The sequence below is a fragment of the Homo sapiens genome, chromosome 12 (assembly GCF_000001405.40).
Source record: "Homo sapiens chromosome 12, GRCh38.p14 Primary Assembly".
Lineage (NCBI taxonomy): Eukaryota > Metazoa > Chordata > Mammalia > Primates > Hominidae > Homo > Homo sapiens.
This window is the reverse complement of record NC_000012.12, coordinates 65,321,261-65,337,095: the sequence shown is the minus strand read 5'-3', so window position 1 is coordinate 65,337,095 and position 15,835 is coordinate 65,321,261. Positions and strand designations below refer to the sequence as shown.

General features: G+C 36.4%; 1 protein-coding gene across 8 annotated transcripts in view; it reads right to left on the bottom strand.

Annotated features, from left to right (window-relative positions):
- Nucleotides 1–15,835, bottom strand: part of MSRB3 (methionine sulfoxide reductase B3) — a 188,225-nt gene that overhangs the window by 129,812 nt on the left and 42,578 nt on the right. For all 8 annotated transcript variants that reach the window (NM_001193460.2, NM_001031679.3, NM_198080.4 and 5 more), the window contains 2 exons: nt 10,162–10,270; nt 8,493–8,570 (listed from right to left, as the gene is read on the bottom strand). In NM_001193460.2, the coding sequence (NP_001180389.1) occupies nt 8,493–8,570; nt 10,162–10,270 (187 nt within the window). The remainder of the gene's footprint in view (nt 1–8,492; nt 8,571–10,161; nt 10,271–15,835) is intronic.

The following is a 15,835-nucleotide window of genomic DNA, read 5'->3' as shown; positions in this document are numbered from 1 at the left end:
AATTTTTTGTATTTTTAGTAGAGATGAGGTTTCACCATGTTGGCCAGGATGGTCTTGATCTCTTGACCTCGTGATCCGCCCGCCTCAGCCGCCCAAAGTGCTGAGATTACAGGCGTGAGCCACCGCGCCCAGCCTCTGCTAAAACTTTTAAGACACGATGTTTCCAACTGGTGAGCTGGATGGCTTCTGTATCTTTGTTTGACAATGTTATGTGATGGGTTCTTTATCCACGTGTAAAACACACTGAAGATATCTATCTGATTAAAATTTGTGCAATTCTTAATAACTATTTTTCAATAAAAGAATTATTCATTTACAAAAAAAGCTTTGTGAATTACCTCTGAAGTACTTGCTAAAACTTGCACATTATTTTTTATAAACTGCCTTTAAGTAATTTCAAAGTTTGTAAACTGGAATAATATTAATTTTCTGATTCATGTTTATTCAAACAAGATAAATGTACATGAATTACAGTTAAAAGTTTTCCCTATTATGTTTCCCAGTTTATTCTAACTATCCATTCTAATTCACTGTGAAAAATGTAATCCATTTGGAAAATTAACTGAAGAACTAAGATTGTTATTTAGGTAATACGAGGCAAGGCAAGATTGTTCTTTCCTCACTTTCCTTTCCCCAAATAATACACATACACACACAACTTCACACACCTAGGTATTTTTGTATCTATTGCTTCAGTTCTTTTCCGTGTGTATATAACTTTTTAAAAAGAAAAATGCAGTTATAATTATCTTTGTATATTGTTATACTTTGAGTCATGCCTTGCGATAGTTTTCTAGTTTCTCAAATGGAGTTGTTCTTTCCTTTTCTTATGCCAAGCTTTTATGTTCTTTTCTTTCTTCTAAAGTCATGCTTTGGCTGTGTTTTTACTCCCTGTCTCAAGCAAGTCCTTTTCTTCCAATCCAGCTGTAGTTTTTCTCTGAGTTTTCAGTTGAGTTGAAGATAGAAAAGTAACTGTCTGTATTACAAATACTTTTCCTATAAATCATTGTATGGGGACAAGACAGGAAGGGTCAGTGGGCTGAGAGAAGTCAATTTTATATTCTCTTCAAAATAATATATTACTTACTCAGCTATAACACAACTTTAAGTAAGCCACCACTCAGAACTCTAGTTTATTTCAGAACAGTTTCTTTATACTGGAAAGCTTTCTTCGTTAAAGGATTTTGAATAAGGTGAGAGGCAATTCAAATCTTTTAAAATTCAAGTTAAATGTACTTCGTTAGAGGTTAAGAAACATTTTCTGGAATTATGAGCAATTTCCAGCTAGAGTTCCACAAAAGAAAGCTTAAGTTAAATTCATGTTACTCTCCATAACAGAATTCCACAGTGACTGAAATGGTTGTTAAATATCGTAAGGAGAGTTTTAAAAGGGTTGAGGAGACGGGATTTGAGTAGAGAGGAAAACGGGAAAACTCTTATCTTCTCACTGTGCTCTTACATCCTCCCCCGCCACACACACACACAAAATTGCATCACAGAGGGAAAAGTTCATGTTGAAAGTCTCTTTTAGTGGTGAACAGAATAGCATGCATGAAGTAGCACAGTTGAGTGAACTGTGTGTGGCACTGGACTGGAATTTTCTCAGTGAAAGGGCTTATGTTCTTAAAGAGCTGAAAAATGGCTTAAATTTTCTGGTAGCCTAGAATAAAATTGCACAGGAGGCTCATGTGAAATGTAGCATGTGTGAACAGTCTTGCAGCAGAGTTCCATTTGAAATGTAGCAACACAGCTGGAGCTGTGACTCATCACACTAATATCCACTGTTAACAGACAGACCCTGTCTAATAAAGCCTGTACTTTCTCACATTGTAAGGATTTTTTAGGCTGCTGTGATAGTATGATATGTTCCCAAAACTTGGACAGGCCACTTGTATTTAACATTTGTTGAATACCTGGCATATTCGAGGCATTTTTCTGCATTTAGTTTTTACACCTGTTTGGTGTTATTTACCCCATTTTACAGGTGATGAATCTGAGATCACACATCTGGCCTGATATTCAGCAGGCGCCACTAGCTGCTGTTAGTCAGTGCCTGTTCTGATTGTTTGATAAAGATGAAGGGACACAAAAATTTCCAGTAGTAAGATAGACATTTACAATAGTTCGTGTCAGTTGGCATCAATCTTCTCAAAAAATGTAGAGAGAGGATTTTTTTAAAGAAAAGATTAGTGAAAATTTGGAATGCAGCTATTTGAGAAAATGTGACAGGGAGTCAATAAGTGAAAATAAAATGACCTCCCAGTTTCAATTACTAAAATCCTGCCCACAAATCCAGCTGCTGCCCTAGCTCCCAGATGTTGAATGGCCTGATGACTTCCTGAACATTGGCTCCATTTTCTTGTCAGGATTCCAAGGGACTTCCCTAAGGACAGATAATAACCTGCCTGAAACTGAGTCCTTCTTGATGACCTGCCATGATGGATCTCATTACTTTTGGGCTAGCCCTTCCCACATTGAGACACTTTTCAACTTTCAACTTAAGTACTTAAGTACTGTGACAAACAGATTTTTCAAACAATTGAGAGATGTGTGTGTGTGTGTATGCATGTTTCTGTGTGTTCCATTTGTTCCAACGATGCTAAGTGAAATAACCAGAGTGACTAAAATAAAATATTAAAATTTCATTCTACTATAATTCTTTAACTTTCTTCTTTTTTAAATGTTTGAGTGCTACTATTCTAAATCCATTTGTATACTGGCTGTGTGATCTTCACAAGTTACTTATCCTCTCTCAGTTTCCTCATCTATAAAATGTGTTGCTGTGAAGATTAAATGAGTTCACATATATGAAGCACTAAGAACCATGCCTGACATATGGTAAGTGCTGTAGTAAGTGTTAGCTATTGTTTTAGCATTATTATCATTATCATTAGTGAACCTATAGAAAATGAGCTATTCAGTGGAAGGCCTGCTGAATAAGTGTATACAAAATATTAAAATGTCCTATGTGGTTCCTCAAGGTCTCAAACAAAATTATCAGAAGCTGATTGCACATGCATAGTGTTGAGGTTTATCCGCTAACAAGGAAAAAAAAGAGTTCCCACTGAGGCTGTTAATTAACATCCCTATTTCCTTCTTTTTCCAATCCCAGAATCTATCTTGTGCACTGTTATGGCTTACATCTCATTTTCATCACGCTATTACCTCACTATCTATCTAACAGAGTTCAGATATGCATGTGATCAACAACTACGTATTTGGTGATTATTATGTGCCGGGGCTATAAATATAAATATGACTAAGGTATGGCTTTGCCATTGTGAAATTCACTCCAAGAGGGTAGACAAGCACATAGACAGATAATTATAAAACAAAGTAGAAATTGCAATGATGGAAGCGCATTCAAAGTGCTATGGAGCAGAGATGAGGGACATTCACGTTCACACTAGAAGGATCAGATAGGGCTTTATGGAGGAAAAGATTCCAAGGCTTAAAAGATTTCTAGTAGGAATTTAGATGCCTTCTCTGGCATCCAAGGACTTCCTTAATTGGTCCCCTGTAACTCCCCAGCCATATTTCCCATTACTCCCAACATAACCCACCTTCCCACTCCTATTGGACTAGTGTTCCATATCCTTGAAAAATCCACTTTTGATTCTATCTCTGATTCCTCTTCTCATATGGTATTCTCTACTAGGCATCCTCCACCTGGGAAAAACTGAACCCCTCTCTTGGCCTGGTAAAGTGTGTTCTCATCTCCCCCAAGAAGTCTTGCCTGAGTTTGATGTAGTCATATTCCTTCCTATTACATACAAAAGCATTTCAAACAGGCACATTCAGAGAGACACTAGCATTATTTTGTCATATTTTATAATGGTTTGTTGTGTTTTTCTTACTATGCCAAAAAAGTAAGTACGTTGAGGAAAAAAATATTTCATAAATTTATTTTATTTATTCCACAATACCTAGGAAAGTGTCAACCAAAGCAAAATATAAATGGTCAAAAATACTTTCTGAATTATTTTCCCAGTGTTTTCTTTGGTTTATCTGATGTGCAATAAATTCACTTTATGAAGTTTTAAAAGTTCAAATAACCAGAAGAGAAAACATTCTTACTTCTGTCAGTTAATTTACTAACTGAAAGTCAGTAGTACTATATGAGAAATAAACTAGCTTGGTAAAATTTGTAAATGTGAAGAAAATGTGAACCATGGAATAAATTATACATTAGGTTTATAAGAAGGCTGTGAATGAGGTTCTTGTACTTGGTAAGCAGTAAGAAAGCAGTATATTGTTCAGAGAGGAAATGTATTTAGAGTACAAGTTTGAAAATGAAATGAGAATAATTGAATAGCCTTTTTTGTGAGGAAGTAAAATACACACAGCAGTCAAGTAAATGATGAGGATTATGCTCGTATATGCATGCACACACACATATACTTTAAGTGTGAATAAAATAACAGAAATAGCAGTGGGGGAAATGATCTTTTCTTTTTTTTATTATACTTTAAGTTCTGGGGTACATGTGCACAACGTGCAGGTTTGTTACATATGTATACATGTGCCATGTTGGTGTGCTGCACCCATTAACTTGTCATTTACATTAAATATATCTCCTAATGCTTTCCCTCCCCACTCACCCCACCCCACAACAGGCCCCGGTGTGATTAGATACTTGAAATTCAGCACTCTTCTTATTTCTTCTGTATTATCTATTTCCCTCCCACTAGTATTTCTCATACGGTTCCTCTAGTTAATCTGTTCTGTCTAGTTTTCTACCCTCACTCCTTTCTAACAAACGGAAACTCCACACACTTTTCATACACACACACACACACACACCTCAATTGTTTCCTACACTTTTGTTCAAAGCATAAAACCAATTACCTACAGGGCCCCTGATAGTGACATTAATTTACTAGACTAGTGAGTGGTTTTGAAACTTTTGCTCCTGAACCCCTAAAAGAATTTTGATATTAAAAAATAGACTTTGTGCTCAAATAAAGTTAGAGCCTCTCGCCTCTAAATCCATCTTCTTTGCCTGCTCTGCTAAAATGGGGCTGGGCCCTTTAAATACTTCTTTCTTTGTCAGCCAGCATGAGGTCTAACTTTGCCAGCTGAGGGCACAGGAGACAGACTCCAGGAGCAAAAGCCCTTTCCTTTCTGGTTTCAGGATGCTTGCTTAACAAGCTCCTCTAGTGCTTGCAGCATATTTCACATCCAGATCCCACAGCCCATGCAGTTTCTCTGCTTCCAGGCTTTTGCAATGTGGGCAGCTTCTCTAGTGCCAGGCTCCTGTTATGTGACTGGACTCTCCTGCACCCATCTCCTCCCGTGTACGCAGCTTTTCCAGCAACCAACTCCTGCAGAGCACACAGCTCCTTCTGCACCCAGCTTAGGTAGCATACTCTGCTTTCCAGCTACACGAGTGGCTTCTTCAGTGCCAGGTGCTGCTTTCTGTGCACAGCGATGAGCAGCACCCAGCGGCTAGCAGCTTCCCCTGGCGCTCCGCTCACATGGTTTGGTAGTGGAGCGCCTCCACTGAGATGCCCTGCAAACAGCTTTCCCCAGCATCCCAGAGGGTAAATTTCCAGCAAATTTCAGATTTCAGGAAAGCTCCAGCAAGTTGCACCATCATGGCACCATAACAACTTCTCTGCTGTTTAGTGGCAACAGCCATGCCCTCTCCAACAAGGTCTAGCCCTCAGCCCTGTGTGTACGGAGGGGTGCAGAGGATTCCTAGGGCTATCTATCTCAGTTCCTAGGAGTCATGATTGTTTCTTATGTCTGCTATTCCTGTATTCTTTAGAATTTCTTTTCATTTCTTACTACCCAATCCCTTATTACCACAATCCTCTCTTACAGTTCATAATTCTGTAAACCTTACTGTTCAAAATACTGTGTATTCTGTGTCCTGACTGGGTGCTGACTGATACATGCTTCCTCATATATTTAAATTAAGTTAAAATGTCTTATCAGAAATTTTTTAAATTGCAGAAGATTAATTTTCTGGTGTTTTGTGTACTTTACACATACGTAAAATGTAGATTTGACAAAACCTTAGAGATACATATTTAGATCACTGAGCAGATGAAGTCCACCATATAATTTACAAAGCCAGTCCTCACTGTCAAATTAATCAACCAAATCGGATGTATTCTGTGTCCGAAAAAAAGACTTCCAATTATTTCGTTTTTGTTCATTTGAATAAAGATATGAATACATGTTCTCATGGCAGCCTTCTCACTTAAGTAGGCTAGTAGAAAATGAATGGACAGTCAGCAGATGGAGAGACAGACAAGCAGGCAGACAGGGAGGTGGACTGTGCTGTGCCAGGAGCCTTGCCAAGGTGAAATACGATTTCACTATTTTTTACCAACACTTTTTTAACCTTGCTTTCGAGTCTCTTTAAAGTTGCCGAACTGTCATTTTGTTTGATGCCCTGGAGATTGTACCCCAGGGCAATACATGGTAAGATTTGGGCTGGGTGAAAGGTATGTCATCTTTTGTGAGGTGGGAGAAGGGTGGTCATGATAGAGGAGATGGGAGGAAGACGCAGCCAACCACAGACTCTCAGACATATCAGTTTCAGGAAAGTACACATACAGAAGTTGGCACTAGACCAATGAGCTACTCGACTACATTCTCCAGTGAAGGATACAGCAAGGAATTTTTCCCAAAATAGACAAGAAAGCAAGTAAAAAAGAAGCAAACAATTAAAAGAAGAAAAAAGTAGAATGAAAGTATTAAATCACATTCCTTATAAATGTGGAAAATAAAAGCTCTCCTTGTAAGCACAGAAGTAGATGAAATAGAGGCAATATCACATCAAATGTGAAACCTGACTCCCACTAGCATCTATGTTTGGATAAGGGTCTTGCTTTTAGGATTTGTGACTCAAAAATCTCACAAGGGTTAAACCCTTCATTTACAGTGGTTCTGTTTCTTATTTAAAACAGTAAGTTTTCTTTAGATCCCATACTTTAGTGAATCACATGGTAGGGAAGGGGATGGAGAATCTGAATCAAAAAGTAAAGGGGATGTGGCCAATTTTTACCATTTGGGATATTAACAAGTTTAACATGGCTCAGCAACTATCTTAAGTGTTATATCAACTATTATGACATAAGCTAAAGGTGTTGAAACATTATATACGGAGTGTGTTTTCTGAGAGGAAATGGGTGACAATTTGAAGGGTCGGTTTTTTAACAGAAGGAATACGTAAGAATTCAGAACAGATTCTCAACCAATGGTAATGTTCAATAAGGTTTGTGCAATGTAAGAAACATTTTTTTAATTTCAAGGAAACCACTGTTTCCTGTTATTTCTGGAAAATCAGTAAATGCTGGTTTTTTAAAAGAGAAACATTTATGGAGAGATATTAAGTGTGTTTTAGCTACAAGTATCAGATCCTTGTTTATTTATTTCCCCTAAGAAACTCTGTAATTCCATTTTAAATAAATGACATTTACTTTTTTTTTTTTTTTGAGACGGAATCTTACTCTGTCGCCCAGGCTTGAGTGCAGTGGCACACTTGGCTGACTGCAACCTCCGCCTCCTGGGTTCAAGTGATTCTCCTGCCTCAGCCTCCCGAGTAGCTGGGACTACAGGCGCACACCACCATGCCTATCTAATTTTTGTATTTTTAGTAGAGATGGGGTTTCACCATGTTGGCCAGGCTAATCTCGAACTCCTGACCTCAAGTGATGCACCCGTCTTGGCCTCCCAAAGTGCTGTGATTGCAGGCCTGGGCCACCACACCCAGCCAATGACATTTACTCCCAATTAAGGTTTCTGCCTTTTTATTCCCCCAAGTCAGCAACCCATGGGAAGCATAGGGCTTCTAGAATTTTCTCCACCTAGATAAATAAGTTTTTGGTAAAGATTTCCCTTTCTTGAATAACATCCATAATCTCCAGAATACACTATCTGAATGAACTATTTTAGTCAGAAAGTCCAGTGTGCTGCCTGTTTTATGGTAAACTGTTGGGATCTTTAAAATAAAGATTTTGAATCTATGCAAAAACTGTTAACCTCATATTACATAATTTGCTTACCTATGTAAAGGTATGTTCCCATGTTACATTCAATACAGGTATTTCCCTTCATTGCAAAAGTATAATCTACTTGGTGGATTTTATTCAATGTGAAGTATATACATGAAGAACTTTTCATTATGTTCCAATAAATATTTAAGGCTGTCATTTGAAGATTTAAAAAATCAGTAAATGCATAAACATTTCTATGCTTGCCAAAATCTCTTTCACAGCTCTGCTAAGCACCATGGTTACTGACATGAACAAGTTAATGTTGGGTATTTTAAAGATCCAAGTAGTGCAAAATCAGCCAGTCTGTCACACTGGTAATTTACCATGAAATCAATAATTACTTTTGTTTTGTTGGGGGTAAATGGAAATAGAAAAACAAACAGAAGAAAATTCAGCAATGGAAAGATTCTAAGATGAAAAAGCAATAACTAGTTTGCTGCCATCTATGATACAGCCATACCTATAGGTTTTCAACATACTTACTTAAACAATGGAGTTCCACAAACAACACATTTATATATTCCAGGATCTTTGTGATGTGTGTATTCTCCTTCAAAGGCACTGATAAATAAACAGATCATTTAAAAAATTAAAGTTAGCATTATTTCTTACAGAATGTATTTGCTTAAAATATATTTCTCTAATAAATCTTTCAAGGGCTTTTTGTACTAGAATGAAAACAAACCAAACATATGGAAATCTGAACTTTACTAATATATTTCAAATCTATATAATAAAATGTGCATATAACTACTCCAAACTAGTGCAAGTTACATAAAAAAATCAAGCCATCTAGTTATGTAATGCTTAGAAAAAGATTTTTTTCTATTAAAAAAAAAAGCCTGTAGTTTAGATTCACAGAAAGAACATTACATAAGATTTTGCTACTTTACAGTGTGCAAGAGTATATACCAGAAAATGCAGAAGGGTCCAAGACTTCAAGTGGAAGGAGTCTTATTTTTTGGTTTGAAAAGGAATATTGCAGCTTTAAGGGAATATTTTTCTAAGTTAACAATCTTAAAGGCTAGGAGGTCATTCAGCTAATACAAATCAGCTGTGCTAGCCCAACAAAAAGTCTATGTGCTCTGCAGCTTGTTTTTATTATCCTTTCACCCTCTTTATGAGGTCCAAATTTTTTATAAACAGAATTTTTAAGAATGACCTAATCTCTGGTTGTTTGTGTGCATTAAATCATTTTGCTAGTCATGTACACAACAGAACGGATAGAAATCCTCGCAAGCTGAGACTGAAGTCCACTGCTAGCTCATTGTATGCTAAGGTTGGACTTCGTCAGAGATTCAACATTTGGTAAATTCAGTAAACAGTAGATACTGTGACAGGAAGAGAGTGTTGCCTGTTAACAGGGATCCCATGTGTAGTAGAGAGCTCTTTCAGTTCATGAATGAAAACAAGAAGTTACATCATTAATAAATTTGGATCAGAGGTAAGCTACGGTCTTACGCCAAGCTCCATGGTATAAATTAGACAACAAAGTCGTCGGACCTTGGCAAGTTACCTTTGAGCTGGAATCAGCTGAGAGAGGCTTTATTCACTAAAAACAGTCTTGGAAGTGAACAAACTCTTTTTTCAGGACTTAGGGCGAACTTCCAAGGACCAAAGCCATGTGAGGGCAGTTATTGAAAATTTTTGACATTCCAACCACAAATGAGCCAATAAATACTTTCTCCACATGTGCTTCAAAAAGAAATTGGAGTTGGGTAGAAAAGAACTAAATTATGCTACCTTCTTTTTGCAGCCAAAACGTCTATACTTACAATGGCCACCTTCAAAATTTCAGCATCCTGGCATAGTGCCAAGTCCCTCATGGTTTTGCTTACTGTGATGTCTTCCCAAAAAATGTACCTAAATCGCTGTTACTTCCACACATTTTGTAGTAAACTAAAAACAGGCCCTTAACAAAAGCTTTGTGACTTTATATCAGATATGCAGTATTCATTAAATGGAGAAAAGAACAAATAAAACTTAGTCTTAACCTAAACAACACCATTTTAACCTTTTCAAGGATACTAATTCATAGACTTTAGCAAGTAAGTATAGAATGCTTTAAATTAATTGGCAAGGAAAAGCACTGCAGAGGGCAGGGGGAGAAGAAATCTAGCTCTTAATGACTTTTTATTAAAGCTCACCTTACCTTTCGGTCCCTTTCTCCTGAGTGACATGGTACTGCAGGGGTGTTAGCCGCTTCCTCAGTTCCTGCTGGGAAAAGACCACCTTACAGTTCTTTTTATCCCTACACGACCCTGAAAAGAGAGAGGATATGGGAGAAGAAGCCTTTTTAGCTTGAATCCTAAATAATTGCTTTGGCTGACCGCCACAGCACAGCTTCTGCAGTCACTTGTCAATGACCAGACCAGTCTCTAATGCACTGGAAATGCTTACCTGAACTGCAGCTGATTATTTCTCTACGTTTAAAATGAATGTTTCTTAAGATTCAGATGATTCCACTGGAGCAGTGACAATATGCTACAGCCAGTCTCTAGCATGTGATACTAAAAATTCACTGATCATTCACAAGGTACATGCTTTATAACTCCCAGTATCCTGAAACCCTTTTTTTTTCAAATAAATTCAAAAGCATAAGTCTATTTACAAACATTTATACTGTATATATAAAATGATGGGCATATTATGTTAAACCGTAAGTCTGCAATAATTTTGCAACTTAGTAGAATAGCCTGAAACCATCAAAATTCCATTTCCATTGTGGATGATTTAACTACCATCCTATTTTTGAGCCCTAAAAATATATTTTTCTATGACCAGGAATTACTGTTCTCCATGATTCCATCAGAAACTTCACTAGATTCTGTATACTCCTTCAAAGTATAAAGATTCTGTATATCTCTTCAAAGACTGTATCTTACCATGTTAAATGGGCAGCAAGAAACTTTCAATAAACTACAGGAGAAGGCATTTTCACTAATGCAGATTCAAGAAGTTCCAAAGAAAGAGTGGGAAAAACAGAAAGGGAGAAAGACAAAGAAAAAAGGAAATGTGAATATTTTTAGAAACCTACATTTTCTTTTTGCAAAGTATATCTAGGAAGACTTTACTGATTAACTGTATTTGAATGGTGAAATAATTCTAATGTGATTCTAATAACAATGGCAGCTTTTATTTCAACCTATACAGCCTGCAGTAAAATGTTCAGACAACACCTGTTTATATGTAGTATTTTATTTTACATGAGCAAATGACTGAAAAGAAATATAACTCCAGGACAGGGTAGCCATTACTCACTGCAGTAAAATTGCTTTTCTTTGCCATCCATCACAGTGGGAAAGAGGCCTGCAGATGGTCCTAAATGTAGAGAGTTCTTGCCATGTTTTGAAGTTACTAGAAGAAAGCTTGCTTAGTTTCCCAAATACTAAACGCAACTTCTTTTGAAATATAAAGAAATATGATTAGGAGTGGAAATGCTTCCCGTTTTTTTTACGTTCAAGGTACCTAATGTCATAGTATGAGATCGCTGACCTTAAACTAGGAAAATATTGTCTAGCCGGTTACCCTGACTGTGGTGTTGAAGAAGGATATCAGCTTGCAGAATCCGGGCCACCAAGATAGAGCGGTTGATTCTCCACAAGAGAAAATGGAGGCAGCAAAAGAGCAAGCCAGACCCAAAGAGCAAGATACACCTTGGAGTGGGCCTGCAGGTTGTCAGACAGCACCTCTGCTGACCTTCCACAAATACTTCAGCCCTTCCCTGGCCTGCAAAGATCCACAGGCACAGCAGGCATGTCACTAATGGCATGTTGATCTCTCATCTCACTGGACCCCGTCTTATCCTAGGCTTTATCCAAATACCTACTACTTGTATTTTTGCTGTTATCAACGGTTAGGTAGAAATGTTTCCCTGAGAAATGTCTGTCCTATCAGAACAAGCCTCTCAATAGCTTGAATGCAAAGTGGCTCTTTCTTAAATAATCAGTCAACAGTGATAGGTGAGTTTCTGCTTAATTCAGTACAGACTTCTTAAAAATTATTTTATTCTCATGTGTTTGTTGGAAGGGTTGTATCTTAGTTAATACTGTCACAAAATCATTAAATGCAAACTTAACATGACAAAATGACTTGGTTAAAATTATTCTTTTCAATGGCATAATTAAAATATGTACAATTAAAATCAAACAATTCTATCCAAAATATTTTTGTTAATATACGTTCATTCATACAAAAAGACCAATTGTGTTCCCAAAGTTGAGAGAACTAAGCTACCCATCTGTATGTCATTTAGTACAAGAGAAGCAACTGCAGGTTTAAATTACATGGTATTGGATTGCAATTTCCTAACATTGGATGCTTTTCTGCCTTTTTACCTTGAGTCATTTACTAAGGAGTGTTCATAAAAAGTAGCTTAAAGCACAGATGCTTGCAAATCATTTAGGCAAAGATGTTTCTCTCTTTTTCATTCTCCCTCTCTCATGAATCTCTCTTTTCCGAAGAGAATAAAACCGTTGGTCAGTATTGATGAACCATGTCAAGTATTTGTACAAGAAAAAAAGGTAAAATTGAAAACATCTGATTGAAGTAAATAATACAAACATAAAAGCTTTACTAGTGAATGAAGGGTATTGAAGAGACTTTATTTCATAGATTAGAAATTACTTTTGATCTAAACATTCTTAAAAACAGATTGTTTTCCACTATGAAACATCTCATTAACTGTGCTACAGAGACCTCGTTTTAATGGCAAGCCTTGAAAGAGTGCTGCTGTACTCCTTTGTTAGTCTCCGTCTTATTTGGGAGGGGAATAAAGATTTCATTCCAGCTTTCTTTGTTTGTCTTTCAAGAACCACTAAAGCAGTATTCACACAAATTTTGTAGGAATGTGCCCTATGTCATAGCCTACAAATTATTTGGTTTTGGTGCACTTAAAGGTCATCTTCCAAATTAGCAAAATTTTTTTACATCCTGGCTTTTCAACCTTAAGTATAAATATTGTTTCCTAACTGTAAGTGAGGTTTGTCCTTTAAGAAATACTAGTGATTATTTAAAGTTGTCAAACTTTGTACATTTTCATTCTTTGGTTATACTATATTCTCAAAATAATTAGGTTTTCAAAGTATATCTAATACCAAAAGGAAATATATGTAGACTAGAAACAACTATTGTGATTTTACATTAAACAATTCAATGAGAAGTTGGTCAGATTTTAATAAATATCTTGCCACACCATTTAATAATAATAATATACTTCCTGGACAATTTAAAGCTATACTATTACATTAGCCCTTCTATCATCAGAACCAAATATTGGTATATATAAACACAGAAAAGCTTCACTTTTGTCTCTTATTTCCCTTCTCCCTATCAGACTCACTTTTCTAAAGTCATATGGTGCCACTGTTAATCTTGAAAAAATCATTTCATTTTGAAATTCTGGAGTAATTCATTGGATGGTTTCCCTTTACTATCTTCACTTAGGTACTGTAATTTTCTTATTACACAGGGTAATTTAACATTAGTATTATATGACATCTGTTCAATGACCTCTAAATTGGCTTAGAAGTATGTTTGGGAAAGATTTTTCCCTTTATTTAAATGTTTAATAGTGTCTTTTGAAGGCACAAGTGAGTGTGTGTGTACACACATGTAACACAATTACATATTTGAGGAGATAATATTGCCATTTTGGTATCTAATCATAACACCGTTCCTTACAGAGTAACTTTGAGATAGATCAGTTCCATCTTGAACATAGTCCAAGGATATTTTATTTATTGAAATATGTCCAAAGTCTCTTTTTATAGCGAAGCTTGTCCTGTGTTGTTGCCTCAAGGCCAGTATTGTTTCGAAGCCCCAGTATGAAGCTCTTGCTATTAGTACAAATAAACGTACAGCAACAGTTTGCTTTGTGGCTCTGCCTGCTTCCCAGCCACGTGACCTGAAGCAAGTCACCTTTGCTATGTGTTGCCACCCTCAAAGATCTGCTATAAGGATCACAGCCATTAGCACTTACTTCATTTTGATTACAGTGAATTCTGAGGTTAAAATTGTATTTTAAAAGATAGCCAGGTCCAGTATTTAGTGTGCAGCAATCTTTTATTGGTAATTCTTTTTCTATAATAATTCCCTGGGAACAGTATTTTCCTCACACCTTATCTTGTTTTTATGATTAAAGTGGGAAATGAAGGAAGAAAATAAAACTAAAATTTGAGTCCTCCTACATGCCAGGCACATGTCTAGGCACTTTCACATAAATACATTTAATCTTCTCAATAATTCTAGAACGTGGCTGTCATGCCCATTTTACAGATACAGAAACTGAGGCGTGGAGAGGTTATAACATACCTTATTAAGGACAAACAGCAAGTAGACTTATCAACTCAAACCCAGGGCTGTCTGACTGCAAAACTCATAGTTGTTATATTTTCTTTCTTCTTCTTTTTTTTTTTTTTTTTTTTTGAGATGGAGTCTCGCTCTGTCACCCAGGCTGGAGTCCAGTGGTGTGAGTTCAGCTCACTGCAACCTCTGCATTTCGGATTCAAGCGATTCTCCTGCCTCAGCCTCAGCCTCCAGAGTGGCTGGGATTACAGACGCCCACCACCACACCCGGGTAATTTTTGTATTTTTGGTAGAGATGGGGTTTCGACATGATGGCCAGGTCTCGAACTCCTGACCTCAGGTGATCTGCCCGCCTCGGCCTCCCAAAGTGCTGGGATTACAGGTGTGAGCCACCACACCCAGCCAGTCATCATATTTTGTCAGGAAAAATTATGTAACAACTTTTCTTCTTTCTTCTCTAACTATACAATAACTTTCAGCTTAAAAACTAACAAAATAATAAGGGGGAAAAAGTAATAATCACCTCAGTACATCAGAAAAGTTACATACATTTATCTATTAGCCAATGTCTCTTTTCCCTGTATTTACTCCTTCAACATAGGGTCAGTGACAAGTTTCATACAGGATTCTCACAAAGTCTATGAAACGTTGAAAGGCTTTTTTAACTTCCTATTAAGAAGTAAATTAGATCTGTTACCTAAACCTTAGAGTACTTTTAAGTCATAAATTTTATATTTCGGTGTGAAAAATCAAAACAAAACAAAACCTAAGGATCCCATAACTTTAATTTTGGTTCTAGAATCAGAAAAAACGAAACTATTAAATATTTTCCCAAGATAATAAATGAATAAGAGATAAGAATGTCTTGTTTTGCTTTGAGTTTAGTAGGTTAAAACAGTAAAGTTCATGTTGAAATACCTTGCTGCTATATTTAAAGGTGGTATACTTTATTTTTCACTGTAAATTTGGTTGGTTATTAGTTTGTCACTGGAAAACTAAGCAAATTTTTACTTCAGGCATAGTATAGTGTTAGAATTTCTAAATAATTGGCCATTTGGAAAAGTCAAATTTAGACCATTTTTTAGAATAAAATATAAAATATATACCATAACTATCATTTTTTGTTTGTTTGCATTCTAGTAATTCAATAAAGGCTTTAAGATAAGACAAACCTACAAAGCATGGAGGAAGAAAAGCTCCTATATTTGTAGAACCATACCTAATTCTGATTTTTCTCTCAAAGTAGACATATATAGGAAAAACATTCCTGAGATTAACATACAGTCTAAGATGTCAGGACACTTTTGCTTCAGTCCTCTGGTTTCCACAAAACTAGAGCTGCAGGGTTTACTTTGAGGACCACTGATCCAAGATTTTTTCTTAAATTAAGTCATCAAAAATGTTGAGTGTTTACAAAGTGTCAGACACTATGCTAAGTAAGATATATACATTAGTTCAATAATTATTTATTGAGTACCTATTATCTGCTGGCACTATTCTAAGTACTTAGGATACTTTCC